General features: G+C 37.2%; 1 protein-coding gene across 1 annotated transcript; it reads right to left on the bottom strand.

The window, feature by feature from the left end:
• Window positions 1-14,399: 14,399 nt before the first annotated feature.
• OR5K2 (olfactory receptor family 5 subfamily K member 2) lies at window positions 14,400-15,350 on the bottom strand. Its single transcript, NM_001004737.1, has one exon. It carries the CDS (start codon window positions 15,348-15,350, stop codon window positions 14,400-14,402), a length of 951 nt encoding a protein of 316 aa, NP_001004737.1.
• Between the last annotated feature and the right edge of the window lie 3,959 nt (window positions 15,351-19,309).

Here is a 19,309-nt window from a genome sequence, read left to right as displayed (position 1 = left end):
GAGTGATTACATTCTCTTCAGTGCCAGAATTTCTATTACTAGCATTACGTGTATACAAATATACATTATTTGACATATAAACATTTACATACTTTCAGCAAACTTCTATAAAAGCAAGATCCAATTTATATTACTTTGTATATTTGCAAAGGTTTAGAAATGTGAAATGAGAATTTTCTTTCTGCCGTACACCTTTTAAAATATCTGAGTTACTAAGTAATGTGTCATCTTTACTGGTCCAGTGTTAGTGTCTCAGTATGTGAGCTTTACCTCACCTGCCCTGCAGCCTTTCAGCCCCTCCCAGTCTTCCGCATTTTGTTCGTTTCTTTCCCCCCTTAGCTTGTATTGTCATTGTATGTTCACAAACATCTTTGGTTCTCTTGCTCCCATAATTTCCTATGACACCTCCCTTCGCAATCCTTAGCCCTATCTTCATAGACTGTGCTGTCCAGTTTTCTTAATCTTAAGATATCAAGGATGGCTGTTCAGAACTACTAAGTTGATTCTATAAAAAAGTATGCTGTTTGACTTCAACTGCTTTATAATTCTAAGCATCTCTAATTATTGATCTTTTAACACCCTGCCACACATTTTCCAAGTCTCTACAAATGTTAGTTGTTGGAAACCTTTATTCTTCCTGCTTAACTTCCATGGAAGGAGTTTATGCTCTCTTTTAGAAGGGAATACTGGAGTCAACTCTTGTAGTATCTCCCAGCCTTATTTGCTTCTCTATATAAAAGAAGAATGTATTATCTGGTTGGAGAGATTGCTGGAATCAGGGCATCCACAAGGAGCAGCATGGTATATGGTGGTTAAGTATTTAGCTTGGGAGACAGAATGCGAGCTTTGTAATCCCAGGTCTATCTTTTGTCTCTTAGCCTTTTTCCAAACACCGCTTTTCCCATCTGTGAAATGCTTTGATTATCATATGTCTCTTAGAGTTGTGATGAGGATTATGTAAATTGCTTAGCATAAAGTAGTCGCTCAAAAACTGCTAGTTATGACTGGCTGCATTGTGAGGGGTTGCCAAGCCTATAAAGTGGTGGCTCTTAGCCTAGGCTGCACATTGGAATTTCCTGGAGAACTTAAATGTTTTCATTCCAGAGAATCTGATTTAGTTGGCCTGGGCTATGGTCGGGTCATTGAAATTTTTAAAACCTTTCCAAGTGATTCCAATGGGCAGTTATATTTGAAAGCTATGTTTAAACGCAAGAAATAGGATTCTCTCTCTCCTAGGCAGATTATGAAAGAGTGGGCTGTGGAGTAAACAGACCTGGCTTGGTGTCTGCCTTCTAAAAGCCATTTCTCTACTGTGCTTTCCACACTCTTCTGTTGACTGGCTCTTTGTGACAGGTCCCAATCCATCCCACCTCTGATAGTTGGAGATGCGTATGAAGAGTCTGCTCTGCAGATCCAGTGCACCCCTGGTTCTCAGGTTCAGATTTGGCAGGATGTAATAGGAAGCCTTGTTTGTTTTGGCTTCAATTCCAAATTATTTTCTCTAATCCGGTACTTTCAGGGACCCTGTAATTTGAGGTCATTAGGCCTCTATAAAGAAAGTGAATATTCTTATCCCTGTCTGCTTATCAGTTCATTGTGTTCATACTCTTGGTTAGAACTAGGAAGGAAGGAGGCATGCATGAGTGATTGATGTTAACTTCTACCCAAGCTAGAAATTCTGAGGATGAACATATAATAGCATTATCTATAAAATGGGATATTATCTGCCTCAATAGGTTTTTGTGATGGTTAAATAAGAAGGTATACGTGCAAGTTTTTAGAACACCTTTGAAAACATAAGAGCTCAAAAAGTGTTTGGTACTATTATTTGGACATTAATGCAGTGCACGGGAAGGAGGCAGCCTTTGCTTGCCCTGTGTGGTCCAGCTCTAGGGCATGCGGGACTCTGAGCTGTTGGGGTTTACCACAAGGCTACACTCCAATGGGGATTAGAACTGGGGCTGGTGTTACATTATTGGGGAAGTCTTCTGTTTCCAGTAAAGGTTTGTTTCAAAACAGAAAGGGCTTCATTACATGGGCTTTTTAGCCATACAAGCCTCTCAAGGTGGAAGAATTTTTGCTTTTAAAACTCACATTTTAATCCTTTTTTTCAAGTAGGACAGCAGTGGGGTGGAACTTTTGGCCTTTCAATGATTGTGCTATTGGTAAATCGAGATAAATGCATCAAAAACCTTTCTATTAGTCCATTTGTGATTCTATAACAGAATACCTGAGACTGAGTAATTTATAAATAATAGAAATTTATTTTTAATGGTTCTGGAGGCTGAAAAGTCCAAGATGCCAGCAGATTTGGCAATTCTGATTCCAAGACAACACTTTGCATGCTTCATGCTTCAGAGGAGAGGAAAACTGTTCCTCACATGAGAGAAGAGTAGAAGGGCAAAGAGGGTGAGAGTGGGCCAAACTGTACCAATTCCACCCATGAGGGTGGAGCCCTCATGGCCTAATCACCTCTCAAAGGTCCCACCTCCTAATAGTGTTACAATGGCAATTGAATTTTGACATGTGTTTTGGAAGGGGCAAACTTTCAAAACATAGCACTGTCTTTATGTTGTTTAAAATTGGACTCAGGTCCATTGAGGGAAGTGGAAGAACTTGGATTCCTGCAGCTTGTTTGCAGGCTCCTGAAATCAGCCTCTACAACATGCAATCCAATTAGATTTGGATGGTTCATTTTAAGTTCTGAGGGTGGAAGTAGATTTCAGGGATCCACACCATGGTTCCACTGCTGAGTAATGGTGGATATTATTCATGAGCACTTAACAAGATGCCAAGTGGCACTTGTTACCATGGACTCAAAGGAGGATTCAAAGATATGAAAGATAAGACATTATCTAAAAAATTCTAGAGAGAGTTCCAACACTTGATGCTAAAACACCCTTGTAATGGTTAATATTAAGTGTCAACTTGATTGAATTGAAGGATGCAAAGTATTGTTCTTGGGTGTGTCTTTGAGGGTATTGCCAAAGGATATTAACATTGGAGCCAGTGGACTGGGAGAGGCACATCCACCCTCAGTCTGGGTGGGCACAATTGAATCAACTACCAGGACAGCCAGAATAAAAAGCAAGCAGAAGAATGTGGAAAGACTAGACTGACTGAGTCTTCTGGCTTCCCTCTTTCTCCTGTGTTGGGTGCTTCCTGCCCTTGAACATTGGACTCCAAGTTCTCCAGCTATGGGGCTCTTGGACCTTTGACCACCGACTGAAATCTGCACTGTTGGCTTCCCTACTTTTAAGGTTTTGGGACTTGGACTGCCTTCCTTGCTCCTCAGCTTGCAGACGGCCTATTGTGGGACCTCACCCTGTGATCATGTGGGTCAATACTTAAACTCTCCTTTATTTAAACATCTATCCTATTAGTTCTGTCCCTCTAGAATACCCTAATGCAGCCCTCAAGGACTAATTTAGAGCAGCAGTACCCAATTTGTCATCTTAACCATTTACCCCAGGCCTTGTACCCTCCACCTAAAACTCCCAAGCATTTGAAATAAGATACCTGGGGGAAGGAAAGGGAGGGAAAGGCCTTGAGCCTTTGAGTGGAGAGTGCTGTGGCCTCTCCCTCTTACTCCCTCCTATGCATTAGGCATTACTCTAGGTGAACAAGTAGAGCTACTCTGTAATTAATTCCTGACTTTAACATCCACAGAACTACTCTGGATTTAAACAGATCGATTTGCAATCCCAATTCTTTTTACTAGTTGAGAAACTTTGGGCAAGTTCTGTCATTCTTTAGGTCTCAGTAGGATAATAATGCCTATTTTTCACGTTCACTGTGAGGCTTATAAGGTAATATATGTAAAGTGCTTAGCATGGAGTTTGGTACAATTTAAGCTTTCAATCAACAATAACTGTTATTAATCTTCAGATGATTTCAAATCCCCAGCCCTGCCTTCTCCCTAAACTCCAAGTCCAAATTCCTAGGTGCCTTCAAGGCAGCTTCATTTGAATATTTTCATGATACCTAAAATGTAATATGTTTAAATTTATACTCATTTGTCTTCTCATAACTGCACCAATTCTCATTTGTTTTACATGTTTTCCCATCAACTAGACTTTTAATGTTGACATCATCTTTGACTCCTTCTTTTCCCTGGCCTTCTATATCCAATTAGTTATCAAGATTTTTTGATTCTATTTCAGTAATGCCTATGTCACTGAAACTCTCCTGTCTAGTCACCTTAGTTCCGGTTCCTTCCTGGATGATGACAGTAGACTCTCTGCTGGTCTCTTTGCCACTAACTAGCTTACCTGAAACCCATTTTACACATCCTGCCAGCCTAATTTGCTAAAGCATAGATAATATCGCATCAACCTTTTACCCCAAAACCATCAACAACTCTCTACTGCTTACAAAAGCAATCTAGAATAAAGTCTAGATTTTGTCTAACATCAAAGCTGTAACATTGTCTAGCTCTATCTTTGGATCATTTTCTCCTATTCCTCTCCTTTAGTCACAGTCATTGTTACGTTTGGACTTTCTTATATCTGTGATTCATCTTATATTGTCTTTATTTATGGAATGCTATTCTCCACATACTCAAATCTTGATCTATACCACTTCACTGCAATTCCAGTTTCAAAAATCATGACCACTTCTTTACCAATTGAAATAACTGAAGACTCATCTCGAATGTCTTGCTCTTCTGAATCCCTGTGGCATTCGGAGTAACCCCCTTCTTGCTGCTTTTGCCACTTTCTACTTTTTGTATAACAGTGATTGTTGTGCATATCAACCTTCCTACTAGAACTTATTGCCTATTTAATCTTTGTATCCCTCCAACATCTTCCACATTGCCTTGCAAAGAATAGTCCCTCAATAAATGAGAGAGTTGCTTCTGAGTTATAATCCTTGAAATTATTAGAAAGCTGCATTGTAAAATATATACATGAAAGTAGATTAACTGGGGAAAAATTAGAATTGATAGACTAGAGCTCAAATTGAACACCTTGGAGAGACTAGGCTATGTAATAGGTCCTTCAAGGTAATTTTGAGATTTACACCTCCCCCACTTCTTGCCCTGGAGCTGGAAGAAATGAGAGTTTGGTTGTTTGTCTATTGTGATATCACATCCACAATTTTACCCAATCACATAGGCTTTTGTGATTTTTGTTCACTTCATATAAAGTGCTGATACTAGAAAATGTTTAAAGACTTTTGTTGACATAGTTAGAAGATAAAAATTCAAAGCTGACCACTGTTGGCAAAGTTTGATGAAATAAATGTGTCCTAATCTGTATTTAAACTATGAAATAAAATTCTACAATGAAATCAGAGTATTGTTAGTTGTAAATTTAAGAGATGAGGCCAGGCGTGGTGGCTCACACCTGTAATCCCAGCACTTTGGGAGGTCGAGGTGGGCGGATCACGAGATCAGGAGATAGAGACCATCCTGGCTAACACGGTGAAACCCCGTCTATACTAAAAATACAAAAAATTAGCCGGGCGCGGTGGCAGGCACCTGTAGTCCCAGCTACTTGGGAGGCTGAGGCAGGAGAACGGCGTGAACCCGGGAGTTGGAGCTTGCAGTGAGCCGAGATAGCGCCATGGCAGTCCGGCCTGGGAGAAAGAGGAAGACTCCATCTCAAAAAAAAAAAAAAAAAAAGAGATGAATGGAGGGGAACATAAATACTTTAACAAACCTCAAAATGGAGATAGCTCTTATTTCAAATGCACATTCATCAAAAGGTAAATTTTCATGAAGAGGAAACTTTACCTTACATTTCCAATCTGGCCTGGCTACCCCCAAATCTGCCCAATACTATGCAATGTGTCTTGACTACTATAGTGGTGCTTGTCTTGATTAAAAGTAGATTCTTAACAAGCAATAATTTATTTCTTTCCATAGGAAATTACTCAGATTCTTGGCTCCATGAATAATTTTAATGATCTTCTACATTATCCTTGATAATTACTCATTTCTCAATAATCTTTTAATTTCATCCCATGACTCTGAGGATAGCTTCCAAGCTCTTTAAATGGCCTTACAAACTCATTGGCAAGTTCTATACTTCAGGCACACTGACCTTTTAGTTTTTCCAGTGGGCCATGCCTATGGTAGTTTAAAAACATGGCCTTAAAATCCTTCGATCAATCTTGCATTGAGATTCCCATCCCCTTGAATCTAGGCTGGCTTGTGATGGTTTTGACCAATAGAGTGTGCCTGAAATGACACTCTTCTCATGAGGTCCTAAAGATCATGTGTCCTTAAACCAGTTCTCTTGGAACACTCAGTCTTAGAACATTCCCTCTCCAAACCCAGATACCATGCTGTGAAGTCCAGGCCACATGGAGGTGTCCTGTGTAGATGCTCCAGCTGAAATCCCAAGCTAAGCTCCCAACTGACAGCCAACATCATTTCCAGCCATGTGTGGGAGCCATCCTGGATGTCCAGCCTTAACAAGCCTTCAGATGACTTCAGCCACAGCTATTATCTTACTACATCCTTGTGAGACTCTAATAAAGAACCAACTAGCTGAGCCCAATCAACCTATGGAACTGGTAGAAATAAAATGAATTGTTGTTTTGTGCCGCTATGTTTTGGGGTCATTTGTTATGCAGCCACAGTATCTGCAACAGTGCTGTTTCCTACCACAGGCTTTCTCATGGTTTTTTTCCCCCTTTTTCCAAATAGCTTTTTCTGACCTTTACGCTCCCGCATCCCACTCCTTTTACCCAGGTAACACTTATTTTTCAGATGAAAACTTAATATTTGCTTCTTCAGTCAAGTTTCCCTAATTATCTGTTTTAGGTTAGTTCTCTTACATTTCATCGCATTGTGAAGTTCTTGAATGTGGTAGTTATTGACTGCAGTAGACCGTTAGGTCCAAATATAAGAGTGATTCCACTTGCTACTACTCCTTTGAGACTCTGTAGATCCATTTTTTCTATACCTCCATAAGATCTAAAGTAGGTTTTTTAGTCATTTAATAGTTAATTAGCCAGGCACGGTGGTTCATGCCTATAATTCCAGTTCTTTGGGAGGCTGAGGTGAGAGGATGGCGTGAGGCCAGGAGTTTCAGACCAGCCTGGCCTTTGCCTCTACAAAAAATTACCAAAAAAAAAAAAAAAAAAAAATTAATGAACTAGTCCCTTTTGAGGTAGAGGAGCACTAAAAAGTCAGTCTAATAATCACACTCCAGTTCAATTAGGGAGGTATAAAAACTCACTATTCAGTGTTAAAACTCTTCTCTCTCTTAGCTTCGGTTTGCCTGTCGTTGGGAGGCCCACAGTGGGGGAGGAGGCTTTCTCAGCCTTTTCTCTCTGTCCTCAGTCACTGACTGTTTCTGACCTCTCTATGGTCAAACCAGTGGGAGAGTAGATTAGGGCAAAGTATATTTCGACTGTGGCTGGTACTGCTGTCATCTGAACCTGGAGCCATGGAGGGCCCATGCATAATGCAGGCTCTTTCTCTTTTTAGAGCCATTCTGTGAGTTTCTCAGAGACTTTCCCTCTGCAGATCTTCAGACTGCAGCTTTGCTAACATGTAAAATCAATATCTGTCCTTCATCGGGCTGACCCTCAATCCCATTCCTGGAAGGCTGGTTCCCCTCTGTTGGAACCACACTGAAGAATTCTCTTTGGGTCTGGGCGCAGTGGCTCATGTCTGTAATCCCAGCACTTTGGGAGGCTGAGGCAGGAGGATCACTTGAGGCCAGAAGTTTAAGACCAGCCTGAGCAACATGGCAAGACTTTGTCTCTATAAAAAATTTAAAAAATAGGCACGGTGGCACATGCCTGTTGTCCCTGCTACTGGGGAGGCTAAGGCAGGAGGATCGCTTGAGCCCAAAATTTGAGGTTGCAGTGAGCTATGATCTTAGCCTGGGTGACAGAGTGAGATTTTGTCTCTAAAAACTTTTTTAAAAAGAAAGAGTTCTCTTTTATTAGGGCCCCAGGCCAGCTCCTTCTCTTAGGAAGGCTTTTAACCCACAAGAATCATGAAGGATTAATGGATAGCTGGACAGAGGGAATGCAGGTCTCTCTCAGCTCACCTTGGGGTCTCAGTATTTCAGCGCTGTCTAATCAAGCCCTTTCACCTTTTGGACCCCTCAACGGGGAGTCATATATTCTTCTATAGGTTTCCCAAACTCCAGGGGACATGTATCAAACTCTCTGAGTAAAGACCCTCTCAACTGGGTAAGTAGAGTGAGCGGGGCCAAGCCTCCTCATTGCAACGGGTGGGACTACAGGAAAACCCGTTAAGTCTTTCTAGAGAATGTCTGTGTCTGAATTCTCCAAATTCTGATTCATTCCCAAGACTCATAAATAGTTGCGGGGGATAATGAGTCAAAGGTCACAAGATAAGTTTTTAAACCACTCTCTGAAAATCCTGCACAGGAGTCTGGTGTCTTAATTTGGAATGTGGAGCTTCTGATAAAACTAAATTGAGATGTCAGGAGAAATTGCACATAAATCTTAAACATTTATTAAATTGTAATGATTTTAGTTTAACATCTTCCCCCCAGGACTTCTGTAAGACCCATGAGAGAAGAAATCTTGGCTGGCTTTACTCGTAGTGTGTGGTGTATTTTAAAAATGCTCAGTAAGTATTTATTGAATGATGGATGAATAAATAAATATATTTAGATTATGCCACTGGCATTTCATTGTCTATGAGCTAATTATTAGTTGGTTATCCATAATACACATTTTTCAAATGTAAAAGTACATAGTCATACTCATAATTATTACATTTTGAGCTTCATTGTTTTCTATCAGTCCTTAAACAAGTTACTTTCTTGGTGTATATTTTCTGAGGGAGAGTAATAAATCTTTCTATCTCAAAAACAGTAATTTCCCTTTAAATAAAGGTTATGTATTTAAATATGAAGTTAAATAGAAGAAAAAATTGAGAAGGGAAGTATTGTGAAGGATAAAGTTCTATTAGGTTTACTATAAGTCAATTATATTAATGTGCTATAAATATCCTATACCATTTTACTTTCTTTTTTAATAGCCTGATTACATACATTTCTAAGAAGCAGGGATTGTGCCTATGTAATTATTTTTACTGTGTGTGTAGCCCTTCATCATTACTCATGTGATATGGTTTGGCTGTTTCTCCACTCAAATCTCATCTTGAATTGTAACTCCCACAATTCCCAGGTGTTGTGGGAACCCGGTGGCAGGTGATTGAATTATGGGGGCAGGTCTTTCCTGCACTGCTCTCGTGATAGTGAGTGAGTCTCACAAGATCTGATGGTTTTAAAAATGGGAGCTTCCCTGCACAGACTCTGTCTCTCGTGCCGCTGCCATGGCCATGTAAGAAGTGCCTTTCACCTTCCCCCGTGATTGTGAGGCCTCCCCAGCCATGTGGTACTGTAAGTCCATTAAACCTCTTTCTTTTGTGAATTTCCCAGTCTCGAGTATGTCTTTATCAGCAGCGTGAAAACGGACTAACACACCATGTTAAGAGGAACTAACTCAATACATAGTTTGCTGGGATGAAAGAAGACATGCTTTACAGGAGGGGATGAAGAGGCAAGGAAGAGCAGCAGCAAAGGAGAACAGCTGTCAGATTACTGAGGAAATTATACCAGATTTCATCTCTTTGGTGCTCATTGCCTGCCTCTCTGCAAGAATTCTCATCATGATACATTTCAGTCTTACTTTTTGTGTATGTGTGTGTGACAGTGTGAGACTGAGAGTGCTCAGGTAATGGGGTTTTTGGAGAGTCACACTCCTAGTTCACCCAACATTAAACTAAGAATAGAGCTTGTATGAGGGTCCTCCTCCCACCCACTTTTAGAACTACGTCTTCCTGTGAACCCAGCTGCCCCTGGTCTTCCAGGAACCTCAGTTTGGGACATTATCTGGTCTTGATCTCTGAGAATTAATGGCTTCCTTGATATGTGCCTCATTCATCTGGGCTGTGTCTTGTTGAAGAGCAAGCAATATAGATTAATTGATTTGTGCTACTGAGACAATGAGTTTCACCTCCCAAAGTTTTTGCCATTTTGACACTTGGACTTTCAAGACCTTAATCTTAATATTTTGCTTCTTGTCTTTCATGCTTCTTACCTGCTTGCCTTTCTTTCTTAATACAGTTTTTGAGTACTTCAGCTCAAATGCCATGCATTTAATAGACCCTGAGACACAGACTGCCTCCCTCCCCTCACAAACAACGTGGAATATGTGCTGCCATGTTTGTTTTAAAAATAAATAATTTTTAAAAAATATGGAAGCATAACACATTTCATTTCTGAGTCCAATCAATCATCCTCTTACTCATTTGGCAGGAAAGATAAAATCTACTCATCATGTTTGCCTCAATTTAGTATTCTAATAGTGGAATATGTACTTGCTATAGAGTTGGAGAAATCTTTTGAATAGAATAGTTTAGGTGCCCCTCATATTGCATTACTTGACCTACACATTGAGTTAGTCTATACATATTTGCCTTCCAGGCATGAGTAAATCAATTTTCCCTGCCCTGTTATCCCTACTTGTGGTAACCTAGAGTAACTCATTTAGTCTATATTCAGATTGATTGCAAACATTCAAAACATGTCTCCTCCCCACCCCTGACTGCCCATCTTAAATGGTATACCAGTAAGCTCCGACGCCTGCATTCAGGTTAGAATGTCCTAACATGCCCATTAGGGCATCATAGCCAAAAGGCTGTTGTTTACTTCTCATGTTAATTCTCTGGTTTTATGAAGAACTAGTTCCCCATAGATGCATATCTCTGTATAAAGTCATGTTTAAAAAAATCCCCAGTAAGTTATTCTCCCAGTAGAAATTTTGTGGTTTTTATCTCAGTCAGTTTTCCTTTATTTTGTATGTATTATTTTATCCTTATCTTCTAAAGGGAGCGTCAAACAAAATAGACCTGTAAGTCATATCGGCATATGACTCATTTCTCCAAAGTTATCATACTAATTTGATAATACATACTTTCCTACATTAGTATTTGGCTTTCTTTCCTTTATGAAAAGGGAGCTACCTTTATTGTTAACACCTTAAACAGGACTAACTGGTATCTGTTCTCTCTGTTCCCTGGGATTGATGTTGATTCATCACCATAAGCAAAACATAAAATTATAATGCAGCGATGAAGCTAATTCAAACCAAATAAAATAGCAAGTTTATAGTTAACAAAAAGGGTTGGTCAATAAGCATATTTAGTAAAATATATTTGCTTAAAATGAATTATACTGATTATTGTTCTACCATATTTCTATCAAGTTCATACCTATATCTCCTGCCCAGTAAAACTGAATAATTTTTTTATAAAGAATGTACAGCTCAACAGTTAACTGTTTACTGTATAAGATTTTCTTTTTAAAATAATGTATTTGGCTTATTTTTTTCTTTTAAGGTTTTCTTAAGGTTTAAAGGAACAATTAATATTTTATCTCTTTTTTTGTTAACTTCGGTACAAAAATGCAGTTGATGACTTGACAAAAGGGCTGCATCTATGGCTTGAAGGTGCAGCCCTTTCATCAAGTCATCAACTGTATTTTTGTACTGTTGAATTTCTCCAACAGTGACAAAGGAGAGCATGCTTCCAGCTGGAGCTGAGTCCAAGCACACAGCCACTCCTGCACACGCATGCGTGCAAACAGGGAAGCCCAAGTAGGAGAAGAGGAAAGAGGTTGTAGGGATTTGGGAAGAACCTTGATTATTCCCTGGAGGAAAAGACAAATCTACTTCCCTGAAATCACCCTCGAATCTACTTCCACCCTCAGAACTTAAAATGAACTGCATCCTTTTTTTCATCTTCTTTTCTTCTCCAGTGAATATGATCTCCAAACCCTTATTTTTTCTTTGAACTGTAAAATTTCCACTCATGGACGATGCAACCAACAGATGCAATCTCTGAGAAGATGAAAATTGGGACCTCTTATTATAAAATTGACCTAGCTGGACTCAGGAAACCAGGGAAGAAGTCAATGCAGGCATTTAAAATGTAAAGTTTTTTCTGGTTAAATCTATTTATTTTTCTTGTAGGTTGAGTATTTCTTCCCAGTTTTTCTGCTCTGGTGTATAACAAACAGGTCAAAATTTCCCATCTTTCCTCCTGATAGTAGTTGAATCCTACCTTGCATACTTAATGCATAGTGAAATGGCATCTAGCAGAAATACACACCCCCAAAACACACCACCATTTCATTAGGTGCCCAAAAAATTCTGTATTTAGCTTATTTATTTATTGTTATTTTTGCTTTTTCTTAACCCACTATATATTGACTGCAAACGAATTAATAAATTATCCCTTCTGGAACTTTTTGGTCTTTTCTTTTTTTTAATGTTTTCACTATAAAAGGTAAGCTGAAACATTGAGAAATTGTTCAAATCAGCATATTTTATAATTCACAACTACAACTTGGTAAATATTTTTACTGTAAGTAAGCACTGAAATAATGAAGTATGATGAGAGGCAGTAGTTTTTAATGCAAAGATGCAAAGTTATAAATTTAAATGTTCAGAGGGGCCAGGGAGGTGACATAAGAATTGTTGCCACTTTTTCAAGAAAAGTCAATTTTTGCTTTTATAAAAATTTTTAATAAAAATTTTAAATAAAAATTCTCCTGATATTTAAATTTCTTAAAATTAATTTTCCAAAGAACACTATGCTGTTCTGCATTGCGTGGGATAAACGATTCTGTGCAATCTCTGGGTGACCTTTTGTGATTTCTTATGTAATAATTGAGAATGTAGTTTTTGTAGTCAGGCAGCCTGGGGTTCAGGTCATGCAGACTCCTGTGGGTCACTGAACAAGTGACTCAACCATACTGTGCTTCATATTCTCACCTGTCACAAGGGATAATAATTGCAATTCTTTCACAGGATTTATGAGGGTTGGATGAGGTAATGTGTATACACAGCTTAGCACATGGACGCATAGTAAGTATCCAAGTACATTTGGTGATGCTGATGGACGTGCATTAGGCAAAAACTCAACTGATGGGGTTTAAATTTGAAACAGGCAAGGAAATACTGAAATGTCTGAGTATAATTGGAATGAACTAGGTTAGGTTTTCTTGGAGGTTACAAATATACACTATATTTTTATAGTTTTTCATTCATGATTTAGGGAATTATATCTAGAAATATATCTGTTTTCTACTCCCTTTTCTATATAGACTCAGCATGCTGATTTTCCATGTGATGCCAGCCTCTGGTGGCTGGCTAGCTTGAGGCCCACTGCAATCTGACAACTGCCTTCTGGAAATTTAGATGTGACCACAGAGCATCAAGAGAGGAGGTGGAAGGGAGAATTTTTCTGTTACTTGTTATGGGTCCTCCTTGTTCCAGAAGTTAGTAATTAAAATAATGGCAATGTTCTATTATTTAAGAAGATGAAAAGAGTGGTGTCTTGGTCATTAATATGTCTCAGCATCTAGAACAGTGCTTGCACATAGCAGAATCTCAATAAATATATGTAGAGTGAATAATTGGAAAGTATCTCTTTAATGATGTCACATAAGATTATTAGGTTCTATCCATATTAAACGACTTTAAGTTTTGCAATGGTGAAGGAATAAAAGAAAATATTTGAGATAAGCCCTGTCCACAGTCCCACAATCACACTTTTTTACATGTCTGTATATAATATACCCAAAGGTTGTGTCTCCATTGTTTAACCCCTTCCTCACCTCTCAGGAATGGGCACAGAGAAGTTTAGCCTAACTCACTGACAATGAAGGCTCTTCAGATCTACATGAAGTTTGAAATGTTTGTCTAGAACTTTATGATATGGTATCTTTATGCATGTAGGTTTTGGAGTAAATAAAACTTAATGTAACCTATCTTGAAATTTGACATTCTGATTTTAATTATTTAAATGTTTAAATCATTTAACAACAACTTCTATTTGGAAATATAATATTCACTTTTATTGGCACAATCACTTCCTGACTACCTCATTCTAACTACAATAATGTCCCCCACATGCTATTACATTTTCTTCCTCAAAATTCACTTGCCATTTTTGTTGCTCATGGATATAAGTGAGTTCGTTGGTTGACTGTTCACATGATCTTAAACACTTAACTGTAATGCACATGTTGTAAGCTATAGAGTGGGCTGGTTATCAAAGCCCGCTTTGTAAATGGTATGGCTTTTTATATTTGTAACTGGTAGTTTTGCTGTTGTTTTGGGTGTTGATCATCATTGATACTAACACAGTCTATAGGCATGGTGGCTTTCTACATTGCTGCTTGAGTGAATTCAATGTCTGCATGTGCTTTTAAATTCTGAGTAAATATTTAGCACAGTTCACTCCTTTCCATGAATTTTCCCTGTCACATATTTCTGCTTAATTTGATTGTATTTTGATATGTTTTAATATTTTGTATACAATTAGTACACTTCCTCTGTGTAATTTTATTTAGAAGTTTTTTGAGCATTAAACCATTAAGCTAGGATAGATGTCATTTGTTCACACTTCCTTGAGATTTTATTTTCAGCAGAATTTTTCTTAAGACACTTATTACTTCCTTGTTTCTCAGACTATAAATGAAAGGATTTAGTAAGGGAACTACTATTGTAAATAAAATAGCAGCTGGTATATCATTACCTCCTTCTTCAAGCAAATTTGGTCTAATGTATAGGAAAAAAATAGATCCATAGAATAATGAAACTGATGAAAAGTGGGATGCACAAGTAGAAAAGGCTTTGGCCCTTCCCTCCTTGGATTTCATTCTGAAAATAGTAAGAAGAATATAGAGATAAGATATTAAGACACTACCTATGGTAAAGACTTGAACTGAACCTGAGAAGATGAATAGAACCAGTTCATTGATGAAAGGGTCAACACAGGAGAGTCTATACAAGGGAAGAGTATCACAGTAAAAGTGGTTGATGTGATTCAATCCACAGAAAACTAACCTAAATACAAGCCCTACATGAATCATGGAATGCAGATTTCCAGCTATGAAGGCGCCTGTGGTCATCTGAATGCAGAGTTTCTTGGACATCATGATGTGGTACTGCAGTGGGTTGCAGATGGCCACATAGCGGTCATAGGCCACTGCTGCCAGAAGAAAGCAGTCTGCAGTTTCCACAGTGCAAAGAAAATAAAACTGTACTGCACATTCATAGAGGGAAATCCTTTTGCCCTCAGAAAAGAAGTTCTCTAACATTTTGGGGGTAATAGCACAGGCACAGCAAGAATCCACAAGAGCCAGATTTCCCAGAAAGATGTACATTGGTGTGTGAAGCCGACAGTGTGTAAATATCAGTGCCACCAAACTAATATTCCCCACCACGGTGATCAGATAGATGGCAAAGAACACCACAAACAGCAGAGTCTTCAGCTCAGGGTGATCTGTAAATCCTGTGAGGATAAACTCATTTTTCATGGTATGATTTTCTTCAACCATTCCTGACCTCTCTGAAAAAAATTGTAGAGGAATAAGGCACTAATTAATAATATGCCACAATTATTGACGTCTCTTTGGCTTAAAAGAAGGAGAGCATCTTCCACAATGTCTCCTCATCTTGCCTGGAATTTGGTGCATGCCCAATTCACTGCGAGAATGAGTCTCCTGAGGCTACTACTTTTGTGGCTATTGGTTGAACATGTTTCTATCATATTTTGAAAAAATATCTGATTGGGTGCACAAGGATGACTTTTGAGGTCTTGAGAGAAATATTGAGAGCACAGAACTTCTCCATATAGTATAGGTAAAGCTGATTCGTAATTTAAGTGTCAGTAATTGGTACCAGTGTTCCCGATTTCAATGTTTGTATATGTAGTGGTTAACAATGTGTTTAAAAGACTATTTTTGTATGCTAATGTTAACAGCAGCATTACCTTCAATAACCAAAACGTAAAAACAACCCAAATGTTCATGGACAGGTGAATGGATAAATAAATTGTGGTGGAATATTACTCAGTCTTAAAAAGGATTGAAATTCTCATACATGTTACAACATGGATTAACCTTGAGGACATAAGGCTGATTGAAATAAGCCAGACACAAAAGGACAAATATTGTATGATTCCAATTACATGAGAAAGCTAGAGTAGTCGAACTTACAGAGACAGAAAGTTGAATGGTAGTTGCCAGGGGAAGGGGTCTACTGGGAGCTATTGTTTAATGGGTACAGTGTTTCTGTTTAGGAAGATGAAAATGTTCTAGAGATAAATGATGGTGATCATTCCACAACAATATTAATGCACTTAATGCTACTGAACTGTACACTTAAATATGACTAAAATGATAAAAGTTATGTTGTGTATAATTTACCCCAATAAAAATATTTTTAAAATACTATTTTCATCTGCCTATTTCAGCAAATTACTATCTCCAATACTAGTGGAATATACACTTAAAAATAAGATGCTCTGGGGGAAAAGGGAATATTTATAAGATATTTATATTCCTGGGAGTTGGGGAGTAAAAGTGTTATGGATGGAAGCTGGGAGAAAAAACAAAACACTGCATTTAAAAAGTCTGGTGAGCACAGTGGCTTATGCCTGTAATCCCAGCACTTCAGGAGGCTGAGGAGGGAGCATCACTTGAATCCAGGAGTTCCAGACCAGCCTGGGCAACATAATGAGGCCCTGTCTCTTAAAAAAAAAAATAAAGTATATAAAATTACCAGGGCATTGTGACATGCTCCTGTAGTGCCAGCTACTGGGGAGGCTGAGGTGAGAGGATTCATTGAGCCTGAGAGATGGGGGCTGCAGTGAGCCATAATAGCATCACTGCACTCCAGCCTGGGTGACACAGCGAGACCCTGTCTCAAAAAAACCAAACCAAAACCAAAAAGCCTCCTATGTTACTAGTGATACTATGAGTAAAACTACTTATGTGCATAAAGAAATTAATGTTATTAAAAGCAATTGGAGAAATCCTGAGTTAAAAATATATTCGGTTGTCTAACTACGTATCAAAAAATTATGAATAAAATGTCAAACTGGGAGATTATCTGCAGTAAATTTGATAAAGTTTCTGTACCTTTGCTATAAGATCTCATACAAATGAGTAGGAATAATTACTAGAAAATAGGTAAAGCCCAGGAATAGAAAAATCTCAAAGAAAAAAACATTTTTAAGTAAATTAAAAATGTTTGATTTTATTACTAATCAGAGAAACACCATTCAGAAACACCTATGAAGCTATATTTATTTTGTATATGAAAATAAGATTAAAAAACTGATAATATTGAGCGTTATCTAGAATATAGTAAAATGGCAACCTAATTGCATTCCTGGTAAATGTATAAATTGGTGTAATCATTAGAAAATAATTTGGTAATAGATTAAAGAAACTCTTAAGGTTCATACCTTTTGATCAGTAAAAATAAATGCATCAAAAAGAAATAACTAAAACTTCAGAAAATATGTACATATAATGATGTTCATTATAATCTCACTCATAATAGTGAAAAATTTAAACACCTAAATGGTAACCAGTTAGTTAACCAGTATGATTAAATAAATGTGAACCATCCATATGAATGTATACTGACAAATATTTTAAATGGTGTTTAGCTATAATATCTATTATAATAAAACCGACATAAAAATATTGCATAAAAACAAAATAAAAAGTTTTACATGCAGTATAACCGGAATTACCAAATAAATATTTACATGTAAATGTAATAGAAGGTAGTACAGAAGCACATCAAAATGTTTTTACTAGTTTTTGCTATGTAATAAAAATTATTGGTCATTTTTTCCTCTTTATATTTTTCTCTATTTTAAATTTTCTATAATAACTGTTCCTCATATTCAGAAAACAATCTTAATTTTAAGTAAAGTGATGTACTCTTACATCTGCTATGTTTTATACTTTGATAAGTCCATAAAAATCATTGGGGATTCAACTAACGTTTTCTGCACTTTACAAATCTACAGTGGAGAACATCACAATGCACTTACTGAACAAGTGCCTGCTTCATTCTCATGGTGATGACATTGGTAGTTACAATAATTGTTTGCTGACAGTCTTGCACGTATCTCAAAACATTAAGGGATATGTTTGCATCTTGTGGTAATGCATTCTTACAGTCCTTTACCTATGAAAGCAGTATCACCTTAGTGTCAACTTCTACTCTTTTGAACATCATGATTCTATGGTATTCCTAGATTCTATGATGATCACATTTTTTAAAATTTGAGAATATTTTTAAAACTTCTGTTACTAACCCCTTAGGTATGTCCTTAAACATGGAGTTCTAACCTGCTGGAGCATGTTTTATTTTGATCTACCTTCATTTATTATAGCTACATTTGGAAGCATATATGCATTGTCCTGATATTGGATGCCTGTTTCATCCAATTACTTTCATCCTGTTACTTTCTTTAAAAGGTAGTTGAGACTGTTCTAGATATTTACAGATTGATAATTTTCTGGATAGTTACCGACCACAAGTACACTCCAAATTTCAGGAACAGAGAAAATGTTTTGGAGAGACATAGAAAGACCTCTTCTATTTTAGTTTCCTGAAAATATTGCTGACTTTTAAATATCAGATTATTTGGGGGATGATATCTTTAGAAACAATATTTTAAAATGAACTTTGAAATGTATATAAATATACTTTGAATACTTTTTCATTAACTGGTTACTCTTGCCAGTTTAAAGTCACATAACATAAGATTCCCTTCAGTTTTCTCAGTTGATTATAGTAAATTAAACAGAAATAAGGTTTATATTGGTATTTGATTTCTCTAAGAATCAAAAGAGAAACAAGAACACTCCCTAAAATTATATTGGGGGTTTAAAAGATTGGTTTGAAATTATAGTCCTTGCTCATATAATTTTTTTAATACATAGGGAATGCCCAATACAAACATTTTCAACACTATTTCATTGTAGAGGTTACCACGTTATTTAAAGAAGTTTAAAAATCTTCCCTAATGTATTCTGTTATTACTACAAAAGTATGCTCTTATTTATTTTTGGATCAGTGTAGGCTCCTCTTGAATTCATAAGTGATACAAATGAATGATAGTAAATTGTCTAGAGTTTACACAATAGACTTTAGATTTAGAAAAAGAATATAAGAATCCGAAAAAATTGAAAAGTTGGAAACATAAGGAAAAAGAAAACCATAAATAACTAAAAGAAAACATGTTTCAGGATATCAATTTTTCTAGTTTCTAATTTAATAATGTGTTAAATTCTCACCTCGATATTCCTGATAAGAGTTATATAGAGACCAGTTGGTTGCCTGGTATTAGTTTTTAAATTAGATGCAGCAATTAAACTATCTTCTTGATCATTTAGGAGAATATATGCACAATGAGATCAATGTTAATATTTATGTTGTTGCAGAGAATGACCCAACTATTCAAAATAATTCTAAGAGGATTTATTTGGCA

This window comes from Homo sapiens, chromosome 3 (assembly GCF_000001405.40).
Source record: "Homo sapiens chromosome 3, GRCh38.p14 Primary Assembly".
Lineage (NCBI taxonomy): Eukaryota > Metazoa > Chordata > Mammalia > Primates > Hominidae > Homo > Homo sapiens.
The sequence above is the reverse complement of the archived record's forward strand: the minus strand, read 5'-3'. Positions and strand labels throughout refer to the sequence as shown.